General features: G+C 44.6%; 2 pseudogenes, besides 3 other annotated features; both read right to left on the bottom strand.

Annotated features, from left to right (window-relative positions):
* Positions 6348–6548: a silencer, noted in NCBI's record as "peak2417 fragment used in MPRA reporter construct". NCBI's record gives its function as "represses an SCP1 promoter by STARR-seq MPRAs in K562 erythroleukemia cells {active_cell/tissue: K562}" and the evidence as "EXISTENCE:reporter gene assay evidence [ECO:0000049][PMID:32103011]".
* Positions 10578–11973, bottom strand: KRT18P47 (keratin 18 pseudogene 47; annotated as a pseudogene).
* LOC124903572 (non-histone chromosomal protein HMG-14-like) lies at positions 18844–22507 on the bottom strand (annotated as a pseudogene).
* Positions 21512–21571: an enhancer, noted in NCBI's record as "active region_10038". NCBI's record gives its function as "activates an Ori minimal core promoter by ATAC-STARR-seq in GM12878 lymphoblastoid cells {active_cell/tissue: GM12878}" and the evidence as "EXISTENCE:reporter gene assay evidence [ECO:0000049][PMID:35858748]".
* Positions 21582–21671: an enhancer, noted in NCBI's record as "active region_10037". NCBI's record gives its function as "activates an Ori minimal core promoter by ATAC-STARR-seq in GM12878 lymphoblastoid cells {active_cell/tissue: GM12878}" and the evidence as "EXISTENCE:reporter gene assay evidence [ECO:0000049][PMID:35858748]".
* Positions 22508–23632: the final 1125 nt, after the last annotated feature.

The raw sequence follows: 23632 nt of genomic DNA, 5'->3' as shown, positions 1-23632 counted from the left end.
TTTTTTTTTGTATTTTAGTAGAGATGGGGTTTCACCGTGTTGCCCAGGCTGGTCTCAGACTCCTGAGCTCAGGCAATCCACCCACCTCGGCCTCCCAAATTGCTAGGATTACAGGCATGAGCCACTGTACCCGGCCATCCAAATTTCATCTTATAGCTTCCATGAGTCCCACATGTTGTGGGAGGGACCCGGTGGGAGATGACTGAATTATGGGGATGGGTCTTTCCAGTGCTGTTCTCGTGATAGTGAATGGATCTCATGAGATCTGATGGTTTTTAAAATGGGAGTTGCCCTGACAAGCTCCTTTTTTGCCTGCTGCCATCCATCTAAGATGTGACTTGCTTCTCCTTGCCTTCCACCATGATTGTGAGGCCTTCTCAGCCATGTGGAACTGTAAGTCCAGTAAACCTCTTTCTTTTGTAAATTGCCCAGTCTTGGATATATCTTTATCAGTAGTGTGAAAGTGGACTAATACAGGGCCCTTCTTCTTCTTTTTTTTTTTTTGAGATGGAGTCTCGCTCTGTCGCCCAGGATGGAGTGCAGTGGTGCTGAGATGTGACAATGTGCTAGCAGCCCTCGCTCCCTCTCAGCACCTCCTTGGCCTCGGCGTCCGCTCTGGCCACGCTTGAGGAGCCCTTCAGCCCGCTGCTGCACTCTGGGAGCCCCTCTCTGGGCTGGCCGAGGCCGGAGCCGGCTCTCTCTGCTTGTGGGGAGGTGTGAGGGAGAGGTGTGGGCAGGAACTGGGGCTGCACGTGGCACTCGCGGGCCAGCGCGAGTTCTGGGTGGGTGCGGCTCGGCGGCTATTTTAGCTTTATTTTGAAATACTAGCTAAAAATTTCTCAAGTCTTGAGAGAGAGATGAACATCCAGGTACAGGAAGCTCAAAGAACCCTAAATAGATTCAATCCAAACAGGTCCTCTCTGTGGCACAGTATAGTAAAATTACCAAAAGTCAAAGACAAAGACAGAATTCTACAAGCAGCAAGAGAAAAGCATCAAGTCACATATAAGGCAACCGCCATTAGACTAACAGTGGATTTCTTAGTAGAAACCTTACAGGCTGGGAGAGAATGGGATGATATATTCAAAGTACTGAAAGAACAAAAACCTGCCAGCCAAGAATATTATACTCAGATTAGCTATCCTTCAGAAATGAAGGAGAAATAAAATCTTTCACAGACAAGCAAAAACTAAGGGGATTCATCACCACTAGACTGACCTCAAAAGAGATACTCAAGAGAGTCTTGCATCTGGAAGTGAAAAGGTAACAACCACCATGATGCGTATGAAACTACAAAACTCATTGGTAAGGCTGATATAGAAAAGAGAAAGAGAATGGACTAAAATCTTACTGTTACAGAAAACCACCCAACCATAAAAATAAACAATATGAGAGGAAGTAAGGAACAAAGGATATATAAAACAACCAGAAAACAATAAATAAAATGAGAAGAGTAAGTCCTTATCTATCAATAATAACCTAACCCTGAATGTAAACAAAATCAATTCTCAATTTAAAAGATATAGACTGTCTGAAAGGATAAAAAAGACAAGACCCAACTATATGCTACCTACAACAAACTCACCTCACCTGTAAAGACACACATAGGTTGAAAGTAAAGGAATAAAAAAAGATATTCCATGCAAATGGAAACCACAAGCAAACAGGAGTAGCTATACTTATATCAGACAAAACAGATTTCAAGTCAAAAGCTGTAAAAAGATACAAAGAAGAACATTATATAATAATAAAGGGATCAATTCAGCAACAGACTATAATAGTTGTAAATATATATGCACCGAACACCAGAACACCCAGATATGTAAAGCAAATATTATTAGACTTACAGGGAGAGATAGACATCAGTACAATGACAGTTGAGGACTTCAATACGCCACTGTCAGCATCGGACAGATCATCTAGATGGAAAATCAACAAAGAAACATTGGACTTAAACTACATCATAGGGACCAGGCATGGTGGCTTACACCTGTAATCCCAGCACTTTGGGAGGCCGAGGCAGGTGGAACTCTTTGAGTTCAGGAGTTCAAGACCAGCCTGAGCAACTGTCTTTAGAAAATACACAAAAATTAACTTGGCATTGGTGGTTCACACCTGTAGTCCCAGCTACTTGGGAGGCTGAGGCTGGAGAATTGCTTGAGCTCGGGAGGCAGAGGTTGCAGTGAACTGAGATCACTCCACTGCATTCCCGCCTGGGTGACAGCAAAATCCTGTCTCAAATAAATAAATGAATAAATAAATAATAAATAGAAAAATAAACTGCACCAGAGACCAAATGGATCTAACAGACATTTATGGATCATTTCCCCCAACAACCGAAGAATACATATTTTTGTTTTGTTTTGTTTTGAGATGGAGTCTCACTCTGACACCCAGGCTGGAGTACAGTGGTGCAATCTTGGCTCACTGCAATCTCTGCCTCCCCAGTTTCAAGTGATTCCCTTGTCAGCCTCCCCAGTAGCTGGGACTACAGGCACCCACCACCACACTTGGCCAATTTTTGTATTTTTAGTAGAGACAGGTTTCACCATATAGGCCAGGCTGGTCTTGAACTCCTGATCTCAAGTGATCCACCCACACTGGCCTCCCAAAGTGCTGGAATTACAGGCATGAGCCACTACATCCAGCCACGCGTTTTTTGTCAGCACATATAACAGTCTCCAGGATTGACCACATGTTAGGACACAAAACAAGTCTCAAAAATGTTTTAAAAATTGAAATTGTACCAGTGTCTTATCTGAATACAGGGAATAAAACTTGAAATCAATAAAAAGAAAATCACTCAAAATTATACAAATATATGGAAATTAAATGACATGCTCCTGAATGATCAGTGGGTAAAGGAAGACGTTAAGAATGAAATTTAATTGGTGAGGTTGCAGAGAAAAGGGAATGCTTATACGCTGCTGGTGGAAATAGAATTTAGTCCAGCCACTGTGGGAAACAGTCTGGAAATTTCTCAAAGAACTTAAATAACTATCATTTCGGGGCTGGGCACAGTGGCTCAGGCCTGTAATCCCAGCACTTTGGGAGGCCGAGGCAGGTGGATCACCTGAGTTTGGGAGTTCAAGATCAACCTGACCAACATGGAGAAACCCCATCTCTACTAAAAATATAAAATTACTTGGGTGTGGTGGCACATGCCTGTAATCCCAGCTACTTGGGAAGCTGAGGCAGGAGAGTTGCTTGAACCCAGGAGGCGGTGGTTGCAGTGAGCCGAGATGGTGCTATTGCACTCCAGCCTAGGCAGGAAGAGCAAAGCTCCATCTCAAAAAACAAACAAATACACACACACACACACACACACACACACACACACACACACACACACACTCACAAAACTACCATTTCGGGCAAGGTGCAGTGGCTCACACCTGTAATCCCAACGCTTTGGGAGGCCAGAGCAGGTGGATCATTTGAGGTCAGGAGTTCAAGACCTGCCTGAGCAACATGGTGAAACAACGTCTCTACAGAAAATACAAAAATTAGCCAGGCATGGTGTTGCATGCCTGTAGTACCAGGTACTCAGGACACTAAGGTGGGAGAATTGCTTGAACCTGGGAGGCGGAGGCTGCAGTGAGCTGAGATCACAACACTGCACTCCAGCTTGGGTGACAGAAAGAGACCCTGTCTCAAAACCAGAAACAAAAAAAAAAAATAAAAAACTACCATTTCGACCCAGCAATCCCATTTCTGAGTATATACTCAAAGGAATATAAATCATTTTACCAAAAAGACACATGCACCCATAAGTTCACTGCAGCATCATTCATAATGGCAAAGACATAGAATCAACCTAGATGTCCATCAATGGTGGACTGAATAAAGAAAATGTGGTACATCTATACTATGGAATACTATGCAGCCATTAAAAACAAAAACAATATTATGTCCTTTGCAGCAACATGGATACAGCTGGAGACCATTACCCTAAATGAATTAACACAGGAACAGAAAATCAAATACCACATCTTCTTACTTATAAGTGGGAACGGAACATGGAGTATACATGGACACAAAGATGAGAACAATAGACACCAAGGCCTACTTGAAATGGGAGGGTAGGAGGAGGGTGAGGGTCGAAAATTACCTGAGTGATGAACTCATTTGGACACCAAACCCCAGTGACACACAATTTACCTGTGTAACAAACCTGCACATGTTCCCCTTGAACTAAAATAAAAGTTTAAAAAGAAGGAACTTAAGGCTGGGCGCAGTGGCTCACATCTGTAATCCCAGCACTTTGGGAGGCCGAGGCAGGTGGGTCACGAGGTCAGGAGATTGAAACCATCCTGGCTAACACGGTGAAACCCCATCTCTACGAAAAATACAAAAAAATTAGCTGGGTGTGGTGGCAGGTACCTGTAGTCCCAGCTACTTGGGAGGCTGAAGCAGGAGAATGGCGTGAACTTGGGAGGCAGAGCTTGCAGTGAGCCAAGATCGCGCCACTGAACTCCAGCCTGGGAGACAGAGTGAGACTCCATCTCAAATAAAAAACAAAAAAAGGAACTTGAAATGAACAAAATTTTAAAATTTATTGCAACAAATAAAAACACAACATACCAAGCTGGGCATGGTGGTGCATGCCTGTAATCCCAGCAGTTTGGGAGGGAAAGGTGGGTGGATCACTTGAGGTCAGGAGTTTGAGACCAGTCTGGCCAATACAGTGAAACCCTGTCTCTACTAAAAATACAAAAAGTAGCTGGGCGTGATGGCACCCGCCTATAATCCCAGCTACTCAGGAGGCTGAGGCGGGAGAATCAGTTGAACCCGGGAGGTGGAGGTTGCAGTGAGCCCAGATCACACCAGTGCACTCCAGCCAGGGCGACAGAGAGAGACTCCGTCTAAAACAAAAACAAAAAACAAAAAACAAACAAACAAACAAAAAACAAAACAAAACCTATGGGACTCAGCAGAAAAACTATTAAGAGGCAAGTTGATAGCAATAAAGGTCTACATCAAAAAGCTAGAAAGATTTCAAAGAAACCACCTAATAATGCAACTCAAGGAACTAGAAAAGCACGAACAAGCCAGACTCAAAACTAGAAGGAAAGAAATAATAAAGATCAGAGCAGAAATAAAGAAAATTGAGACTAAAGAAATAATACAGCTGGGCACGGTGTCTCACTCCTGTAATCCCGGCACTTTGGGAGGCCGAGGCAGGTGGATCACCTGAGGTCAGGTGTTTGAGACCAGCCTGGCCAAACATGGTAAAAGCTCATCTCTACTAAAAATACAAAAATTAGCTGGGCATGGTGGCAGGTGCCTGTAATTCCAGCTACTTGGGTGACTGAGGCAGAAGAATTGCTTGAACCTAGGGGGCGGAGGTTGCATTGAGCTGAGATTGTACCACTGCACTCCAGCCTGGGCAAAAGAGCGAGACTCCACCTCAAAAAAAAAAAAAAAAAAAAGATATAATACAAAAGACCAACAAAACAAAAAGTTGGTTTTCTGGAAAGATAAAAAATGGACAAACTATTCGCTAGATGAAGAAAAAATGAGAGGATACATGAATAAAAACAGAAATGAAAAAGGAGATGTCATAATGGATACCACAGAAATAAGGATCATTAGGGACTAATATGAACAAATATATGCCAATAAATTAAAAAACATAGAGGAAAGGGATAATTTCCTGGACACATACAACCTACCAAGATTAAACCAAGGAGAAATAGAAAACCTGAACAGACCAATAACAAGTAATAAGATTGAGTCAGTAATAAAAAGTCTCCCAACAAAGAAAAATCCAGGACTGGATGATTTCACTTCTGAATTCTACTGAACCTTTAAAGAAGAATTAATAACAATTATTCTCAAATGACTCCAAAAAATTCAAGTGGAGGGAATTTTTCATAACTCATTTAACAAGGCCAGCATAACCCTGATACCAAATTTAGATAATGTCACAACAAAAAAGGAAAACTACAGGCCAAAGTCCCTGATAAACATTGATGCAAAAATTCCTCAATAAAATACTAGCAAACTGAATTCAACAACATATCAAAAAGATAATACAGCCGGGCATGGTGGATTACACCTGTAATCACAGCACTTTGGGAGGCTGAGGTGGGTGGATCACCTGAGATCAGGAGTTTGAGACCAGCTTGACCAACATGGAGAAACCCCATCTCTACTAAGAATACAAAATTACCTGGGCGTGGTGGTGCATGCCTGTAATCCCAGCTACTTGGGAGGCTGAGACAGGAGAATCACTTGAACCTGGGAGGCAGAGGCTGCAGTGAGCTGAGATCACACCACTGCACTCCAGCCTGGGCAATGAGAGTGAAACTCTGTCTCAAAAAAAAAAAAAAAAAAGATAAAAGATAATATGACACGATCAAGTGGGGGTTTATCCCAGGAATGCAAGGATGGTTTAACATACAAATCAATAAATGTGATACATTACATCAGCAGAATAAAGGACAAAAACCATATGATCATTTCAATAGATGCAAAAAACAGTATTTGATAAAATTCAACATCCCTTCATGATAACAACTCAACAAATTAGGCACTGAAAGAATGTCACTCAACCTAATAAAGGCCAAATATGATAAACTCACAGCTAACATCACAGTGAATAGAGAAGAACTCAAAGCTTATCCTCTATGAACTGGTACAAGACAAAGATGCTCACTCTCACCACTCTTATTATACACAGTGCTGGAAGTCCTAGCCAGAGCATTTAGGCCAGAGAAAAAAACAAAGGGCACCCAATTTGGAAAGGAGGAAATAAAATTTTCCCTCTTTGCAGATGACACGATCTCATATATTAAAAAACCCTAGGCTGGGCACAGTGGCTCACGCCTGTAATCCCAGCACTTTGGGAGGCCGAGGCGGGCAGATCACAAGGTCAGGAGATCAAGACCATTCTGGCCAACATGGTGAAACCCCATCTCTACTAAAGTAAAAAAATTAGCCGGGTGTGGTGGTGGGTGCCTGTTGTCCCAGCTACTCAGGAGGCTGAGGCAGGGGAATTGCTGGAACCCGGGAGGCGAAGCTTGCAGTGAGCTGAGATCACACCGTTGTACTCCAGCCTGGCGACAGAGCAAGACTCCGTCAAAAAAAAAACAAAAAAACAAAACAAAACAAAAACAAAAAAACCCAAAAGACTCCATAAGAAACTCCTCTTAGAACTGATTATGGATGGAGGAAAGTTGCAGAATACAAGATCGACATACAAAACTCAGTAGCGTTTCTATAAACAAATAATGAATTGCCTGAAAAAAAATAAAGAAAGCAGTCCCATTAACAGTAGCTACACATACATGCAAAATACCTAGGGATTTAACCAATAAGGTGAAAGAACTCTACCAGGAAAACTAGAAAACACTAATGAAAGAAACTGAAGAGGATACAAACAAAATATGCCACGTTTATGGATTGAAAGAATTAATATTGTTAAAATGACCATACTAACCAAAGCAATCTAGAGGTTCAATGCAGTCCCTATGAAAATACCAATGACATCCTTCACAGAAATAGAAAAAGAAATCCTAAAATTTACATGAAACCACAAAGACCCTGTTATTAGTCTGTTCTCACATTGCTATAAAGAACTACCTGAGTCTAAGTAATTTATGAATAAAAGAGGTTTAATTGACTCACAGTTCCACAGGCTAAACAGGAAGCATGATTGGGAGGCCTCAGAAAACTTACAAGCATGGCAGAAGGCAAAGCAGAAGCAAGCGCCTTCTTCCCGTGGTGTCAGGAGAGAGAGATTGAGAGTGTGAGGGCGGAAATGCCACACACTTTTAAACCATCAGATCTCATTAGAACTCACTATCACGAGAACAGCAAGGGGGAAATCCACCCCCATGATCTAATCAACTTCCCTAGGTCCCTTCCCTGACCCATGGGGATTACAATTTGACATGAGATTTGGGTGGGCACACAGAGCCAAACTATATCAGACCTCAAATAGACAAAAGAACAAAGGTGGAGGTATCATACTACCAGACTTCAAAATATACCACAAAGCTGTAGTAACCGAAACAGCATGGTACTGGCATAAAAACAGAAACACAGACCAATGGAACAGAATAGAGAACCCAGTAATTAATCCACATATCTATAGCCAACTGATTTTTGACAAAGTCAGAGAACATACATCAGAGAAAGGACAGCTCTTCAGTGAGCTGAGATTTTGTCACTGCACTCCAGACTGGGTGACAGAGCAAGACTCTGTCTCAAAAAAAAAAAAAAAAAAAAAAAAGGAACTGTCATATGATCCAGTGATTTCACTACTGGACATTTATCCAAAGGAAAGGAAATTGGTATACAGAAGAGAATAAATGGTGCTAGGAAAACTGGATATCCATATGAAGAATAAAACCAGATCCCCTTCTCTTGCCCCGTACACAAATAAACTCAAAATAGATCAAAGACCTAAAGGTAAGACCCAAAACTTTAACACAACTAGAGGGAAATATAAGGGAAATGCTTTAGGATATTGTTTAAGGAAAAGATTTTATGAACAAGAAGACTTCAAAAGCACAGGCAACAAAAGTAAAAATAAACAAATGGGTTTATATCAAATGGAAAAGCATCTGCACAGCAAAGGATATCCTGCAGAAGAATGGGAGTAAATATTTGCAAACCTTTCATCTGACAGGGGATTAATATTCAGTATATACAAGGAACTCAAACATCTCAATAGCAAAAAAAACAATCTAACTAAAAACGGGCAAATGATCTGAACAGACTTTTCTCAAAAGAAGACATACAAATGGTCAACAAATATATGAAAAAAAGCCAGCTGCGGTGGCTCATGCCTGTAATCCCAGCACTTTGGGAGGCTAAGGTGGGTGAATCACCTGAGGTTGGGAGTTCGAGACCAGCCTGACCAACAGAGGAACCCCATCTCTACTAAAAATACAAAATTAGCTGGGCATGGTGGCACATGCCTGAAATCCCAACTACTCGGGAGGCTGAAGCAGGAGAATCACTTGAACATGGGAGGCGGAGGTTGCAGTGAGCTGAGATCGCACCACTGCACTCCAGCCTGGGCAACAAGAGCAAAACTCCGTCTCAAAAACAAACAAAACAAAACAAAACAAAACTATATATATATATATATATATATATGAAAAAATGCTTAACACCACTAATCATCAGGTGTATGCAAATCAAAACCATGATAAGGTATCATCTCACCCCAGTTAGGAAGACTATGATCAAAAAGACGAAGATAACAAATGCTGGTGAGAATACTGAGAAAAGGGAATTCTTATACACTGTGGGTGGGAATGTAAACAAGTACAACCACTATGGAGAATAACATGGAGGTATCTCAAAAAACTATAAATAGACCTATTATACAAGGCTTGGCATGGTGGCTCATGACTATAATTCCAGCACTTAGGGAGGCTGAGATAGATGGATCCCCTGAGCGCAGGAGTTCAAGACCAGCTGGGCAACATGACGAAGCCCTGTCTCTACCCAAAATACCAAAAGTAGCTAGGTGTGGTGGCAGGCGTCTGTAATCCCAGCTACTTGGGACATTGAGGCAGGAGGATCACTTGAGCCCAGAAGGTGGAGGTTTCAGTGAGCCGAGATTGTGTCACTGCACCCCAGACTGGGTGACAGAGCAAGACTCTGTCTCAAAAAAAAAAAAGGAACTATCATGATCCAGTGATTTCACTACTGGACATTTATCCAAAGGAAAGGAAATTGGTATATAGAAGGGACACCTGCACCCTCACACTTATTGCAGTATTATTCACAATAGCCCAGATATAGAATCAACTTAGGTGTCCAACAACAGATTAGTTGATAAAGAAAATGTGGTATATGTACATAGTGGAATATAACTCATCCATAAAAAAGAATGAAATCCTGTCATTTGTTGGCAATTTGGATGGAACTGGAGGGCATCATGTTAAATGAAGTAAGCTAGAAACAGAGTTAGATACTGCATATTCTCACTCATATGTGGAAGCTAAAAAAAAAAGTTGGTCTCCTAGAAAGAAAAGTAAAACAGAGGCTAGAAAGGGTAAGGGGAAAGGAGCCATAGGGAGAGATTTGTTAAATGATACAAAATCACAGCCAGATAGGAGGAATAAATTCTAGTACTCTATATCACTGTAGAATGACTATAGCCAACAACAATATATATTATATAGTTTCAAATAGCTGGAAGGAGAACTCTGAATGTTCTCAATACAAAGAAATGATAAATGTTTGAGATGATAGATACGCTAATTACCCTGATCTGATTACTATACAGTGTATGTATCACAGCATCACTATGTACCCTATAAATATGTACAATTATTATGTTCCAATTTTAAAAACTTTAAAAGTAAAAAAATTTAAAAGAAAAAAGTGAAAAAATGAACAAAACAAAGAAGAAAATTCAACATATGAAAGTGTGTTGTAGGGACAGATTACGGGCAATTGCATTGGTTGACTTTCACAATCATTAACCATATTTTGAAGTCTTATATCACAATGAAGAGCTGCTTTTTTTCTTTTAGGACATGGCTCTCCTTGGAGAATATGTTCACCTTCATTTTCTTTCTTTCTTTCTTTTTTTTTTTTTTTTTTTCAGACCAATGACCTCTGAACTTTTTATTGGCCTCCTGCTTCCCAAAAGTTACCTGCTTCTGCTGGCTCAACGCCTCAGAACTTTGGTGTCATTGGTCTCAGACCCCACTTTGCCATCCACCAGCCTGCCGATGGTGCTCTTTTGGATGGTTTGTATGGAGTTGCTGCTGTACAGGGCATCACCGAGAATGAAGTCCTCCCTGTCTTCCAGCAGGCAGTGGTAGGTGGTGAACTCAGCTTCCAGCTTGACCTTGATGTTCATCAGGGCCTCGTACTCTTGGGTCTGGTGCTGCCCCTCTGTCTGGGTCTGTGCCGACTCTGACTCCAAGTGCAGCAGGACCCCATTGAGCTGCTCCCTCTGCATGGTGTAGTGAACCTCCACCACCCTCAGGCTGTTCTCCAAGCTGGCCTTCAGATATTGAGTCCAGGTCAATCTCTAAGGACTGAAGTGTATGTCTCAGCTCCGTGAGCATCATCTTAGCAGCTCCATGGACTGCTAAGATGACATTTACATCTAAGCGGACTGCGTGGTGACCACTGTGGTGCCCTCCTCAGTCTGCTGGGACCAGTACTTGTCCAGCTCCTCTCGGTTCTTCTGAGCCAGCTCGTCATACTGGGACTGGATGTCTGCCCTGATCTTGCTGATGTACCGAGATCTGGGGGCATCTACCTCCACGATTAACCCACAGCTGGCAATCTGGGCTTGTAGGTCTTTTACTTCCTCTTCATGGTTCTTCTCCATGAAGAGCAGCTCCTCCTTGAGAGCCTTGATCTCTGTCTCTGGCTGCAGCCAAGTGACATCAACGACCTCGCAGATCTCATGGATGTCACTCTCCACAGACTGGCGCATGGCCAGCTGTGTCTCATACTTGACTCTAAAGTCATCAGCAGCAAGACGGGCATTTTCAGCCTGAAAAATGATGCAGGCATTGTCCACAGAATTATCTGAGCCCTTAGGTTCTTGATGGTCTTGAAGTAATGCCCCTAGTCTCTGACCTGGGGTCCCTTCTATGCCAGGTGTTTCCAGATTTTGCTCTTGAGCCTCTGATTCTTGGTCTGCAGGCTCCTCGCTCTGTCCAGGTGGGAGACCAGGCAGTCATTCAGGCCTTGCATGTTTCCTTTTTGCTCTGGATGCCCCCCATTCCCGCCAGACCCTTGGCCATCCCTGCAGCCAGGTCCCCGGACTCCCAGCCTCCTTGGAAGCTGGTGGAGCAGGACATGAAGATCCAGGAGAATAAGCCCCCAGCACCTGCATAGACACTGGCCACGCTGCTCGTGAGCCAGACACTGTGCCTGGGTGACAGAGCTCAGCGACCAGTAGTTGGTGGAGAAGGTGGTGGAATGAGAGATGAAGCTCATGTTGTCTCGGGAGGAAAGAAAGGGGACAGGATTCAGGTTCTGTCCCCACCTTCATTTTCCACGTAGCACTGCTCTTTTTGAAATTCTTCTGGTTTGATATATGCTGACATGAGCATTCCCTATTAAAATTTCCCATCTTCTGTCTTTTGTGCCATGCTTCTATGTTTGTTGTTGTTTGTTTCTTTTTTAGACAGAGTCTTGCTCTGTCACCCAGGCTGGAGTGCAATGGTGCAATTTTGGTTCACTGCAACCTCCACTTCCTGGGCTCAAGCAATTCTCCTTCATCAGCCTCCCAAGTAGCTGGGGCTACAGGCACATGCCACCGTGCCTGGATAATTTTTGTGGTGTGTGTGTGTGTGTGTGTGTGTGTGTGTGTGTGGACAGATTTTGCCATGTTGGCCAGGCTGGTCTCAAACTTTTGAGCTCAGGTGATCTGCCCGTCTCGGCCTCCCAAAGAGCTGGGATTATAGGCATAAGCCACCGCGCCTGGCCTTGTATGTTGTTTTGGGTATGCAGAAATCCATTCTGCATGCCCCAGTAAAGGGGCCCCAAATTTGGTGGAAACAATACTAGTGATTGAATAGCAACATTGTTGCATAGGTGTCTTATTATTCTACCAGGCACATAATTATTTTACAACGATTCAGTAACTTTGTTAGCTTCTTCAGGTAAATATGCCTTTAATTCATCAAACACTCTTGGAATGTCATCAGCTGGAAGGAACATCAATGTAGACAAATTATGCCTTCTTAAACTGAAGTTATTGTTGTTGCCATATTGCTTGGCCAGTCCACTCATCTGAGTTTTCCACCAAATGCACTGGACTGAATGGAAAAAAAACAAACTTTATTGGAAACACCTTGAAATTCACTTTTAGTAACCTTGATCACACCTAATTCCAAATCTGTCATTATGGTTTGGGGATTCAATTGAAATCCATTTTCTTCTGCATAGTTCACCAAATCTTCAAATAAACTTTTATAAATTGCATCACTTTTTTCAGTCATTAATACATAAACAAGTGGATAAGTTCTAGGGTTTTCAGACCCAACAGGGGCATGAATTGTATATAGTTGATTTAAAAAAAAAATGAGTGACAGTTTTGAAAGTCCCATTTATGACTGGGCACAGTGGCTCACGTCTGTAATCCCAGTACTTTGGGAGGCTGAGGCAGGCGGATCACCTGAGGTCGAGAGTTCAAAACCAGCCTGACCAACATGGAGAAACCCCGTCTCTACTAAAAATACAAAATTAGCCAGGCATGGTGGAGCATGCCTGTAATCCCAGCTACTTGCTACTCGGGATGCTGAGGCAGGAGAATTGCTTGAACCTGGGAGGCAGAGGTTGTGGTGAGCCAAGATCGCGCCACTGCACTCCAGCCTGGGCAACAAGGGCGAAACTCTGCCTCAAATAAAAAAATAAAAATAAAAATAAAAAAGAAAGTCCTATTTATTCGCCAAAGTGAAGTATGTGCAAGTTTTTTTTAATGTTAGAGTTAGTGATAAACATAAAAATTCTATCTTCTTCAACAGTCAAACCCCTAATCAAGAATAGTTTGGCTGAGTGCAGTGGCTCATGCCTGTAATCCCAGCACTTTGGGATGCCAAGGCAGGAGGATTGTTTGAGCCCAGGGGTTTGAGACCAGCCTGGGCAACATGGCAAAAATTCTTTCTCTACAAAAAATACAAAAATTAGCCAGGTGTGATGGCACATACCTGTGGTCCCGGCTACTCAGGAGGATGAGGTGGGAGGATCATTGGAGCCTGGGAATTTGAGGCTGCAGTGAGCCATGATCATACCAGTGCACTCCAGCACAGGTGAAGAGTGAGACCCTGTCTCAAAAACAAACAAACAAACAACAACAACAACAAAAACTAGCTCACCATTTAATGTGTTTTGCTGGAGAAGCCTCAGTATCAGCGAGCATCTTTGGTTCAGAGGTCGCTGAGCTTGTTGGATTCTTTTTACTCCCTGATGAAGCACATTTTTTGAAAGCAAGCATGGCATGATGTGTGAAGGGGCAGAAGTCCTACATGATTCAATAATTCGGTAGAGGAGATTTCTTGCATTTTTTTTTTTTTTGCCAGCAGTTTCACTTCTATCATCTTCAAAACATTTGCTGCAATTGCATTTGGAAAGTGGTTCTGGCCTACAAATTTTTTAAGTATATGCTGTTTATTTGAAAGTCTGGTTATTGCCTGGCCATTGCAATTAAGTGATTTTCTATTTTCACAGAACTAAATTAGGTTCACACATCCACCCTTTGTGAACTCGGAACCCATATGCATCTCCTTGAGCTGTGCTTCATTTCCAAATAAAGACAGTAACAAGGTAATAGTTCCACCTAACATGATCTGTGATAGTGATTTTCAGGATTTTAGAATTTATGGATTTTGATCTTTTAGGATTTCAACATTCAGGGTTTTGTCTTTCGGGATTATTATCCAAAACTGCCTGACATATCTTCTGATTAAACTAGAAGCTCTGAGGGATTCCTTAGACCTCTTGGTGTTCCCATGGCCTGGCTGAATACCTAGCACAGGGTGGCATGCAATGTTAGTGAAGGAGAAGTCTGCTGGGGAGGTAAGAGGCTGGGTGCATTTTGAAAAGGGATTCATCTCCAGCAGATGCCAAGCTTGGGGCTGGGAGGAGAAACCACAGACCAGGAACATGTGTTCCCTTGGCAGATGGGCCTCTTGGGGTTGATCTGCTCCAGCAGGAGGCTAGGTTCTGACATCCAGCCTCATTGTCTCAGGCCCCAGTCCAAAGTCCCTGCCCTGATCAGTCAAGACCCGCATCCTTTGCTCTTCTGAAGGCTGGACTTGAAAGTCTCATTATCCTGGGAGAGTCTGATTTTCACCTGGCACTCAGGTCTCCAAAGATCCTAATAGTTTTTCTAGTTTCTACAAATGTTCTCAGCCCTGGGAATGGGACTCATGTTCAAGATGCATCCTTTATCACTTCCATCTGTGTGACCTTGGGCAGGTTCCTTCTAGACCTCAGGTTCCCATCTGCACTGCAGGATGCACTGTGCCTGCTCTGCACCCTTCCTCGCTCAGCAGCATGAGCCAGTGCATGCGCTGCCTGTGTATTAGTCTGTTCTCCCACTGCTATAAAGAAAGACCTGAAACTGGGTAATTTATAAAGAAAAGAGGTTTAATTGGCTCACGGGTCCGTAGGCTGTATAGGAAACATGGCTGGGGAGGACTCAGGAAACTTACAGTCATGACAGAAGGCGAAGGGGAAGCAAAGCACCTTCTTCTCATGGCGGCAGGAGAGAGACAGAGTGAAGGGGGAAGTGCCACACATGTTTAAACCATTAAATCTCGTGAGAACTCACTATCATGAGACCAGCAAGGGTGAAATCCGCTCCCATGATCAGTCACCTCTCACCAGACCCCACCTCCAACGTTGGCAATTACAATTCCACATGAGATTTGGGTGGGGACAGAAATCCAAACCATATGGACCTGTAACCCCTAAGGCTCTACACCACTTCCTGAGGGCCTGCATGCAGGGTGCCCTGCTGTCATCTATGTTAGCTCATTTTATTCTCAAAGCAATTGAGGCAGGTCCTCACTGTTACCTTTGTTTTTCTTCATTGAAATCTCATTTTAAATATATATAATTTAAACAATTCACACTCCCACCTGTAATCCCAACAAGTAGGGAGGCTGATGTGGGAGGATTGTTTGAGGCCAGGAGTTTAAGACTAGCCTAGGCAACATAGTGAGACCCTGTTTTTACAAAAAAAAAAAAAAAAAAAAAAAAATTCAAAATTTCAAAGCTCTAAAAGGTACACTCTGAAAAAGTCTTCCTCTGGCCTGGTGTGGTGGCTCATGCCTGTAATCTTAGCACTTTGGGAGGCTGAGGCAGGTAGATCACTTGAGGCCAGGAGTTTGAGACCAGCCTGGACAAAATGGTGAAACCTCATCTCTACTAAAAATACAAAAATTAGCTGGGTGTGGTGGTGGGTGCCTGCAATCCCAGCTACTTGAGAGGCTGAGGCATGAGAATCACTTGAACCTAGGAGGTGGTGGTTGCAGTGAGCCCAGATTGTGCCACTGCACTCCAGCCTGGGCAACAGAGTGGGCAACAGAGTAAGACTCTGTCTCCAAAAAAATAAAAATAAATATATAAATAAAATAATTATTAAAAAGTCTTCCTCCTTCCCCTTTTCCTTCCTCACCACCCAATTTTTCTTCCTGGAGGGAACCCGAAAGCCCATTTTTTGTTTATCTTTTCTGAGACATTTTTTGTTTTATGCATACACAAGTAAATGTGTGTAAATGTTATGTCTCTCCATCTCCTGCCTCGATTGGTGGCACGCTATACATGCATTCTGCACCTTGCCTTTTTTATTAACAATATACCCCATCCTCGTTATTTTAAATGAGAGGACTCTGAGGTTCGGCTTATGAAGCCTAGCTGGTGAATGCAGGTCTCTTTGAATGCACAGCCCGTGCCTCTCCTAAGCGGGGAGGCTCTGACTGCGAGGGAGCGTCAGCTGGCCTGGGCCCCCTGGATGTGCCCATTCAGGGCCTCTCCTCAATGAGCCCTGGGCAGCTCTGACTGCCACATCTCCTGGTGCCAAGGGAACTGGGAAGGAACTAACCAATGGTCCGGCCTGGCAGAGGGTCCGAGGACCTGGAGAAAAAAGGGCTTTGTTCCACACCCCCTGAAGACTGGCAGGAGTTGGCCTGCCCGGCCATGCTGCCTTTCTCTGCACCCTCTATAAGAGCAAAAACATTTTCTCTTCCTGCCAAGACCTGATGGCAGCCTGGCAGGTCCTGTGGTGGCCCCTCCGAGGGCCGGCTCCCACGCCTCACCGCCTTTTGATGGCCTTGCTGGAGATGGGCAGCTGCAGTGGTCCCTGCCAAGGCCTCAGGACTGGCCTCCCTGAGAATGTGAGATCCCAAGTCTGGATCTCATTGCCACACTGGGAAGGAACTCTCCCTGCCCGTGCTCTGGGCCAACCAGCCTAGTGGGGATTGGCGCAAGGGCTGGGGGCCAGGGAGAGCTGGCCAGCCTGAGCTAATGGGGAAGCATCATTGGTAGTTAAATGTGTAGTTATGTTTTTCCCTACAAAAAGCCCCATGACCTCTTCTTCCTCAGGCTCTCCTCTCTTCAAAAGCAGCTCAGCCTGAAAGGTCCCCTGGGAGGCTGCAAGCAGCTTCCGGTGCTGCGTGCTTGTGAGTGCTTACTCCTGGGTCCAGGCCTGCTGGCTGGGCTGGAGGGGAGTGCCAGGAGCCAGGAGCTGCCCGAAGCTCACAGCTCCAGTGGGGTTTCTCCTCAGAGGAGCCAGTGCCCCAGCCCGGATTTACTCTCTTTGCTCTCAGACGCTAAGCAAGGCGTCCAGCAGGTCCATCCCTGAGCAAACAGCCAATGGGCAGGGTCTCTGTGCCTCATCCTCCCAAGTGTGAAATGGTCACAACAAGGAGATTTGTTTGTTTGTTTTTTTCCATGTGCTTCAAAACACTCTTCCATAATTGAGATTTTATTGGTTGTGTTGAGGCTCAATACACAGACATTTCAGTTTGCACACAGTTCTTATCATATGTACTGAAAATCTAAAAAGCCATGTATTGTAATTCTTTTTAAAAGTTATTCCAGTGACTTTCCAGCTTAAAATTTGGAGGTAAATTTTCCTTAAGAGGCTATCAAGTACCAGTATTTTCACATGTGGATAAGCTGTTACAAACATCCCACCAATACACAACTGAACAGCAAATACACCACATACTCAAATTTTCAATCTTTCACAGCACGTTAACAAAGTTACTAGGAAAACAAGACTACCACGACCAAGGATGTTACAGAGTGCACACAATTCTCACAGGGACGGCCGTGATCAAGTGGATTTCTTTAGGAAACAATTCTGCTAAAAATCAATATGAGTAGGCCCGGCGTGGTGTCTCACGCCTATAATCCTAGCACTTTGGGAGGCCAAGGAGGGCAGATCACCTGAGGTCAGAAGTTCGAGACCAGCCTGGTCAACATGGTGAAACCCTGTCTCTACAAAAATGCAAAAAATTAGCTGGGCATGATGGCAGATGCCTGTAATCCCAGCTACTTGGGAAGCTGAGGCAGGAGAATCGCTTGAACCCGGGAGGCAGAGGTTGCAGTGAGCCGAGATCACGCCACTACACTCCAGCCTGGGTGACAGAGCGAGACTCCATCAAAAAAAAAAAAAAAAAAAAAATTAACAACAACATGGGAATAGAAGTAATTTAAAATGCCCAGGACATTAAATGCAGGACTGTGACTCCATATTGCCATTTAGTATGCTTTCTATTATAGGATATAAACACTAACCCTCCATCTATGGAATGTTAAGCTGACACCCAAGACAGTCAAAGCCTCCCAGAATTCAATAGCCCACACTATTTTCTGGTTGTACCAAAAAACAAACAAGCAGCAAATGGTTTCACCTTTTTAAAATAAGCATTTACACTTAAAAAATGAGATTAGATGTGATTCCCTCCTTCTTAAAAATGTTTCTAGGCCGGCCATCGTGGCTCACACCTGTAATTCCAGCACTTTGAGACACCAAGGCAGGCATATCTCTTGAGCTCAGGAGTTCGAGACCAGCCTGGGCAACAAAGTGAGACCCTGTCTCTACAAAAAATGCAAAAAAGGAGCCAAGCATGGTGGCATGCACCTGTGGTCCCAGCTACTCAGGAGGCTTAGGTGGGAGGATGGCTTGAGCCTGGGAGGCAGAGTGCAGTGAGCTGAAATGGCACCACTGCACTCCAGCCTGGGCATCAGAGCCAGACCCTGTCTCAAAAAAAAAAAAAAAAAAAAAAAACACTATTATTTTGTAAACTTGCATTTACAAAATAGTTGATGAAAATATATACTCGATTGTACAAAAAGGGAGATGGGGACCACTGATAAAACATGGTATGTGATTTAATCAGACTTGGCTTCCTTCTCTCCAGCTTCATCAGAGGCTGATTTTAGTTTCTCCGTTTTCTGCAGGTAAATCTTCTTTAGTTTCCTAGTTAGCCACTTAGCCTGTTTTCCCTTTGCCCCCCTTTCCCTTTTTGTTTGCACTTTTTTGTCCGAAGATTTATCCTTCTCTGCTGCCTGTTTCAGCTTTGTTTCCACTTTTGCAAGAGCAGGTTAGTTGACAACCGTGCCAACCTCCTCCTGGGCTCTTCCTTGGCAGCAGCGTCTGTGGAGCTGATCTTCCTCTTCCTCTTTGGCAGTGGGGAGGGCGTATGCCCAGTGTTGCCGGCCGTGGAGGAGCTGGGCTGCCTCAATGCTCACAATAAAAAGATTTGATGAAGGTGAGGAGGATTAAGGGAGGAGACCACCCCTCATATTGTCTTATGCCCAATTTCTGCCTCCAAAGAAAGAAGAAGTAAAAACTAAAAGGCAGAAATGGAATCTACAGGCAGATAGCCCAGCACTGCGCCCTGGGCCTGGTAGTTAAAAATCAACCCCTGACTTGGCTGGGCGTGGTGGCTCACGCCTATAATCCCAGCACTTTGGGAGGCTGAGGTGGGCGGATCACCTGAGGTTGGGAGTTGAAGACCAGCCTGACCAATATGGAGATATCCCGTCTCTACTAAAAATGCAAAAAATTGGCCAGGTGTGGTGGCATATGCCCGTAATCCCAGCTACTCAGGAGGCTGAGGCAGGAGAATCGCTTGAATCCGGGAGGCGGAGGTTGTGGTGAGCCGAGATTGCGCCACTGCACTCCAGCCTGGGCACAAGAGCAAAACTCCATCCCAAAAAAAAAAAAAAAAAAAAAAAAGAAAAATCAACCCCTGACCTAACTGCTTGTGTTATCTGTAGATTTCAGACATTGTATGGAAAGGCATCATGAAAATCCCTGTCCTGTTCTGTTCCATTCTGATTACCGGTGCATGCAGCCCCCAGTCACGGATCCCCTGCTTGCTCAATCAATCATGACCCTTTCACGGGGACCTCCTTAGAGTTGTAAGCCCTTAAACGGGACAGGAATTGCTCACTTGGGGAGCTCGGTTTTTGGAGACATGAGTCTGCCAGTGCTCCCAGCTGAATAAAGCCCTTTCCTTCTACACCTCAGTGTCTGAGGGATTCTTGTCTGCAGCTCATCCTGCTACATGATGAAGCCGGGAGAGGAGCAGGCTGTAGCCCAGCCTCTGCTGGGAGAAACTTTGCCGGAAGAGCAAAAATAGAGGGGCCTGTTGGTGGCAGGTGGGGAGAGGAGAGAGCTTTGTGTTGGCTGGGGTCCACACTCAACCCAAGTGTTACCAGAAAGAGGTCCTGATCCAAACTTCAAGAGAGGGTTCTTGGATCTAACCCAAGAAAGAATTCAGGCATGTCTGTAGACTGAAAGCAAGTTTATAAAGGAGTGAAGGAATAAAGAATGGCTATTCCAGAGGCAGAGCAGCCCTGAGGGCTACTGGTTGCCCATTTTTGTGGTTATTTCTTGATTATATATGCTAAACAAGGGGTGGACTATTCATGCATCCCCTTTTTAGACCATATAGGGTAACTTCCTGACGTTGCCATGGCATTTGTAAAGTGTCGTGGCGCTGGCGGGAGTGTAGCCATGAGGACGACCAGAGGTCACTCTTGTGGCTATCTTGGTTTTGGGGGATTTTGGCCGGTTTCTTTACTGCAACCTGTTTTATCAGCAAGATCTTTATGACCTGTATCTTGTACCAATCTCCTATCTCACCCTGCAACTTAGGATGTGTAACTGTCTGGAATGCAGCCCAGTAGGTTTCAGTCTCATTTTACCCAGCTCCTATTCAAGATGGAGTTGCTCTGGTTCAAATGCCTCTGACACTGGGACGTCGGCCCCCAAATGTGGTACCAGGGGGACATGGCCCAGGGCATCTTCAGCATGGGCCTGTCCTGTGGGGGATGGCAAGGAGAGACATCAGTGTTCTGGATGTAGGTCCGGTCCGGTACCCCGAGAATGGAGTGCCCCAACGTAGGTCACAGCCCACTTGAAGCAGCTGCAGATGGCAGCCTTGTAGAGGCAATGCAGCCTGCAGCCTTTCCCAGTGGTGCAGGGGCCAAGAGAAAAACATTCTCTTTGCCATCTGAAGGTCCACTGAGAATCACTGACAAAAGGCAGACTAACAGGCCAAAAAGCATACAAACTTATTTGATCACAATTTTATGTGACAGAGGAACCTTCAGAATCAAGACCCCAAAGATACAGGGGAAGCTGTCTATTTTTATGCTTAGGTTCAGAAAAGTATGAGTGGTTGTGCAGAACTATGATTGGACAAAACTCTAATGCTAATAGGTTGAGTGGGGAAATGCAGCAAGTCCTGTCTGTATATTTTCTTCTTGGCCTCTCTACGCAGCATTCCTTCCTTCTGGGTATGGGGCAAGACCCTCTCTGGAACGGGGATCTTGTGACCTACTATCAAACAAAGTAGGTTAGATAATTTCTTTTCTTTTTTTTTTTAAGACAGGGTCATTCTGTTGCCCAGCCTGTAGTGCAGTGGTGTGATCCTGGCTCACTGCAGCTTTGACCTCCCAGACCCAGGTGATCCTTCCGCCCCAGCATACCCAGTGGCTGGGACCACAGAGCATGCACCACTGCACCTGGCTAATTTTTAAGTTTTCTGTAGAGAGGAGGTTTCACCATGTTGCCTAGGCTCATCTGGAACCGCTGGGCTCAAGCCATCCACCTGCCTCCTCCTGACTAAGTGCTGGGATTATAGGCATGAGCCACTGCACCTGGCCTGGTCAGATGATTTCTTTACAGCCATGTTTTACACAGAAAAAGGGAGGAAGTTAGAGTAATATTTTGGGGTTTGATGGCTGGCTTTGGGGAAAAGGGGTTTGGTTTCTAAGACCTGCTTTAGGGAAGAGAGACTCTAGTTTCTGTGGCTAGCCTTGGGGGCCAGAAACAAGAGGCAGGAGAAGATGAGATCGAAACTTTTGCTTCTGAGGCTGCCCTTGAGGCCTCCAATTTGGAGGAGCATCTTTTGAGCCCCAGTCGCAGCATAGGGGAAAATGGTCATAATACTTGCAGAGGGTAAGAAGAAGGCTATGGGTCCCCCCGGGGAAGTTCAGGACAGCAATTGTGCAGGAGTTCTCTGGGAGGTACTGGAAAGCAAGCAGGGGACTGTCACCCCAGGAATGCAGGAACCAAGGTTCGGTGCTAACTCAGAAGGGGGAGGGTGTTGGGAGACCCTCCCGATCCTCCCTTCCAAACACATCCTTCAGGGAGTTCAGGCAGCAAGTGGGCATCCACGTGCTTCTTCATGGAGAAAATAGAGTTTTCTCTGGCATGGGGTTTTGAGAGTTCGGCTGACATCCCTGGCAGCTGAAAGGCATTAAACCTGCAGCCAGAAGGCCTTACGGAGAGACATTCAGAGTGTGCTGTGTGTGATTCAAGCAGTCTGACCTGTCTCTGAGAGCCACTGTGGTTTTGTTGAGATGGGCACTGGGCACTTGTGCTTTGTTAGTCCTGGATGAGCTTGTTTCCCCATGGGACTTAGAGCTTCTCCTGGTCACCTTCATGTTCCGTTGGCATCCAACACAGGCTTGCCAGGTAGGACATGCTCAGTATGAGGATGGAAAATTTAATAAACCATTTGAAATTTTCCAGAGCCATTTTGCAAGTATGAATCAACTGAGGCTTGTAAATAATTAGAGGGATCTGTCTGGTGTAGGACACCCTACTTTTGTTCTTTCCCCTCCCACCCTAGTAGAAAAGAAATTTTTAGCATGATAATGAGGCAAAGTCAGGTTAGGAGAGGTCATGAAAAAAGGTTTGGCCTGGCGCTGTGGCTCACGCCTGTAATCCCAGTACTTTCGGGGGCTGAGGCGGGCGGATCACGAGGTCAGGAGATCGAGACCATCCTGGCCAACATGGTGAAACCCCGGCTCTACTAAAAAATAAAAAAAATTAGCTGGACGTGGTGGCATATACCTGTAATCCTAGCTACTCGGGAGGCTGAGGCAGGAGAATCACTTGAACCAGGGAGTCAGAGGTTGCAGTGAGCCGGGATCGTGCCAGCCTGGCAACAGAGAGAGACTCCATCTCAAAAAAAAAAAAAAAAAAAAAAAAAGGAAAAAGAAAAAAGGTTTGTCTGCCTGCAGATTCTCACCTTGGTGAATCTGAAAGACCCAAGCCCCCTAGAGTAGGTGAGTCCCCATCTCTGCCCACTCCTCTAGGATGGAACCAGGAACAAGGTTCCAGGACCACACGTGGCAGCTGTCAGGGTGGCACCAGGCTTGCAGGGAGGGCAGAGAGGACAAAAAAGGGAAAGGGAGGAATACCAGAGAGAAAAAGGGATGCCTGGATCTCTATGCAAGCCTACCCTTATGGGAAAAATAAAAAGTAATATTTTGCACCACCCTATGAAATTGCTCATTGACTAAGAAGATTTTGTTCCAGGTAAGGAATAAGATCCGCAGTACCTTCTTGAGTATTGCAATGAGGGAGTTAAGCTGCCAAGCATGTTGCTAATATTTTGAATGAACCCAGGAGATATCACCCCCCAAAATGCCACATTGGTATGCTGATTGCTTCAAACTGAAGGCTTCTGGGAAAACAATGGATACACAGAGGGGCTTTTCCTGAATTTCCCTTATCTGAGTAAAGGTAGATTCTCCAGAAGGAAGCCAATTGTCATGAAAACCCTCCCTAGAAATTTGTATCTATCAGGAAGATTAACATGAGGACTCAAACCTAGGAGAGATTAAAGTTGACATTTCATCCAGACAGTCTATTACC

The sequence above is a fragment of the Homo sapiens genome, chromosome 15, assembly GCF_000001405.40.
Source record: "Homo sapiens chromosome 15, GRCh38.p14 Primary Assembly".
NCBI lineage: Eukaryota > Metazoa > Chordata > Mammalia > Primates > Hominidae > Homo > Homo sapiens.
This window is presented reverse-complemented; position numbering and strand designations above follow the sequence as displayed.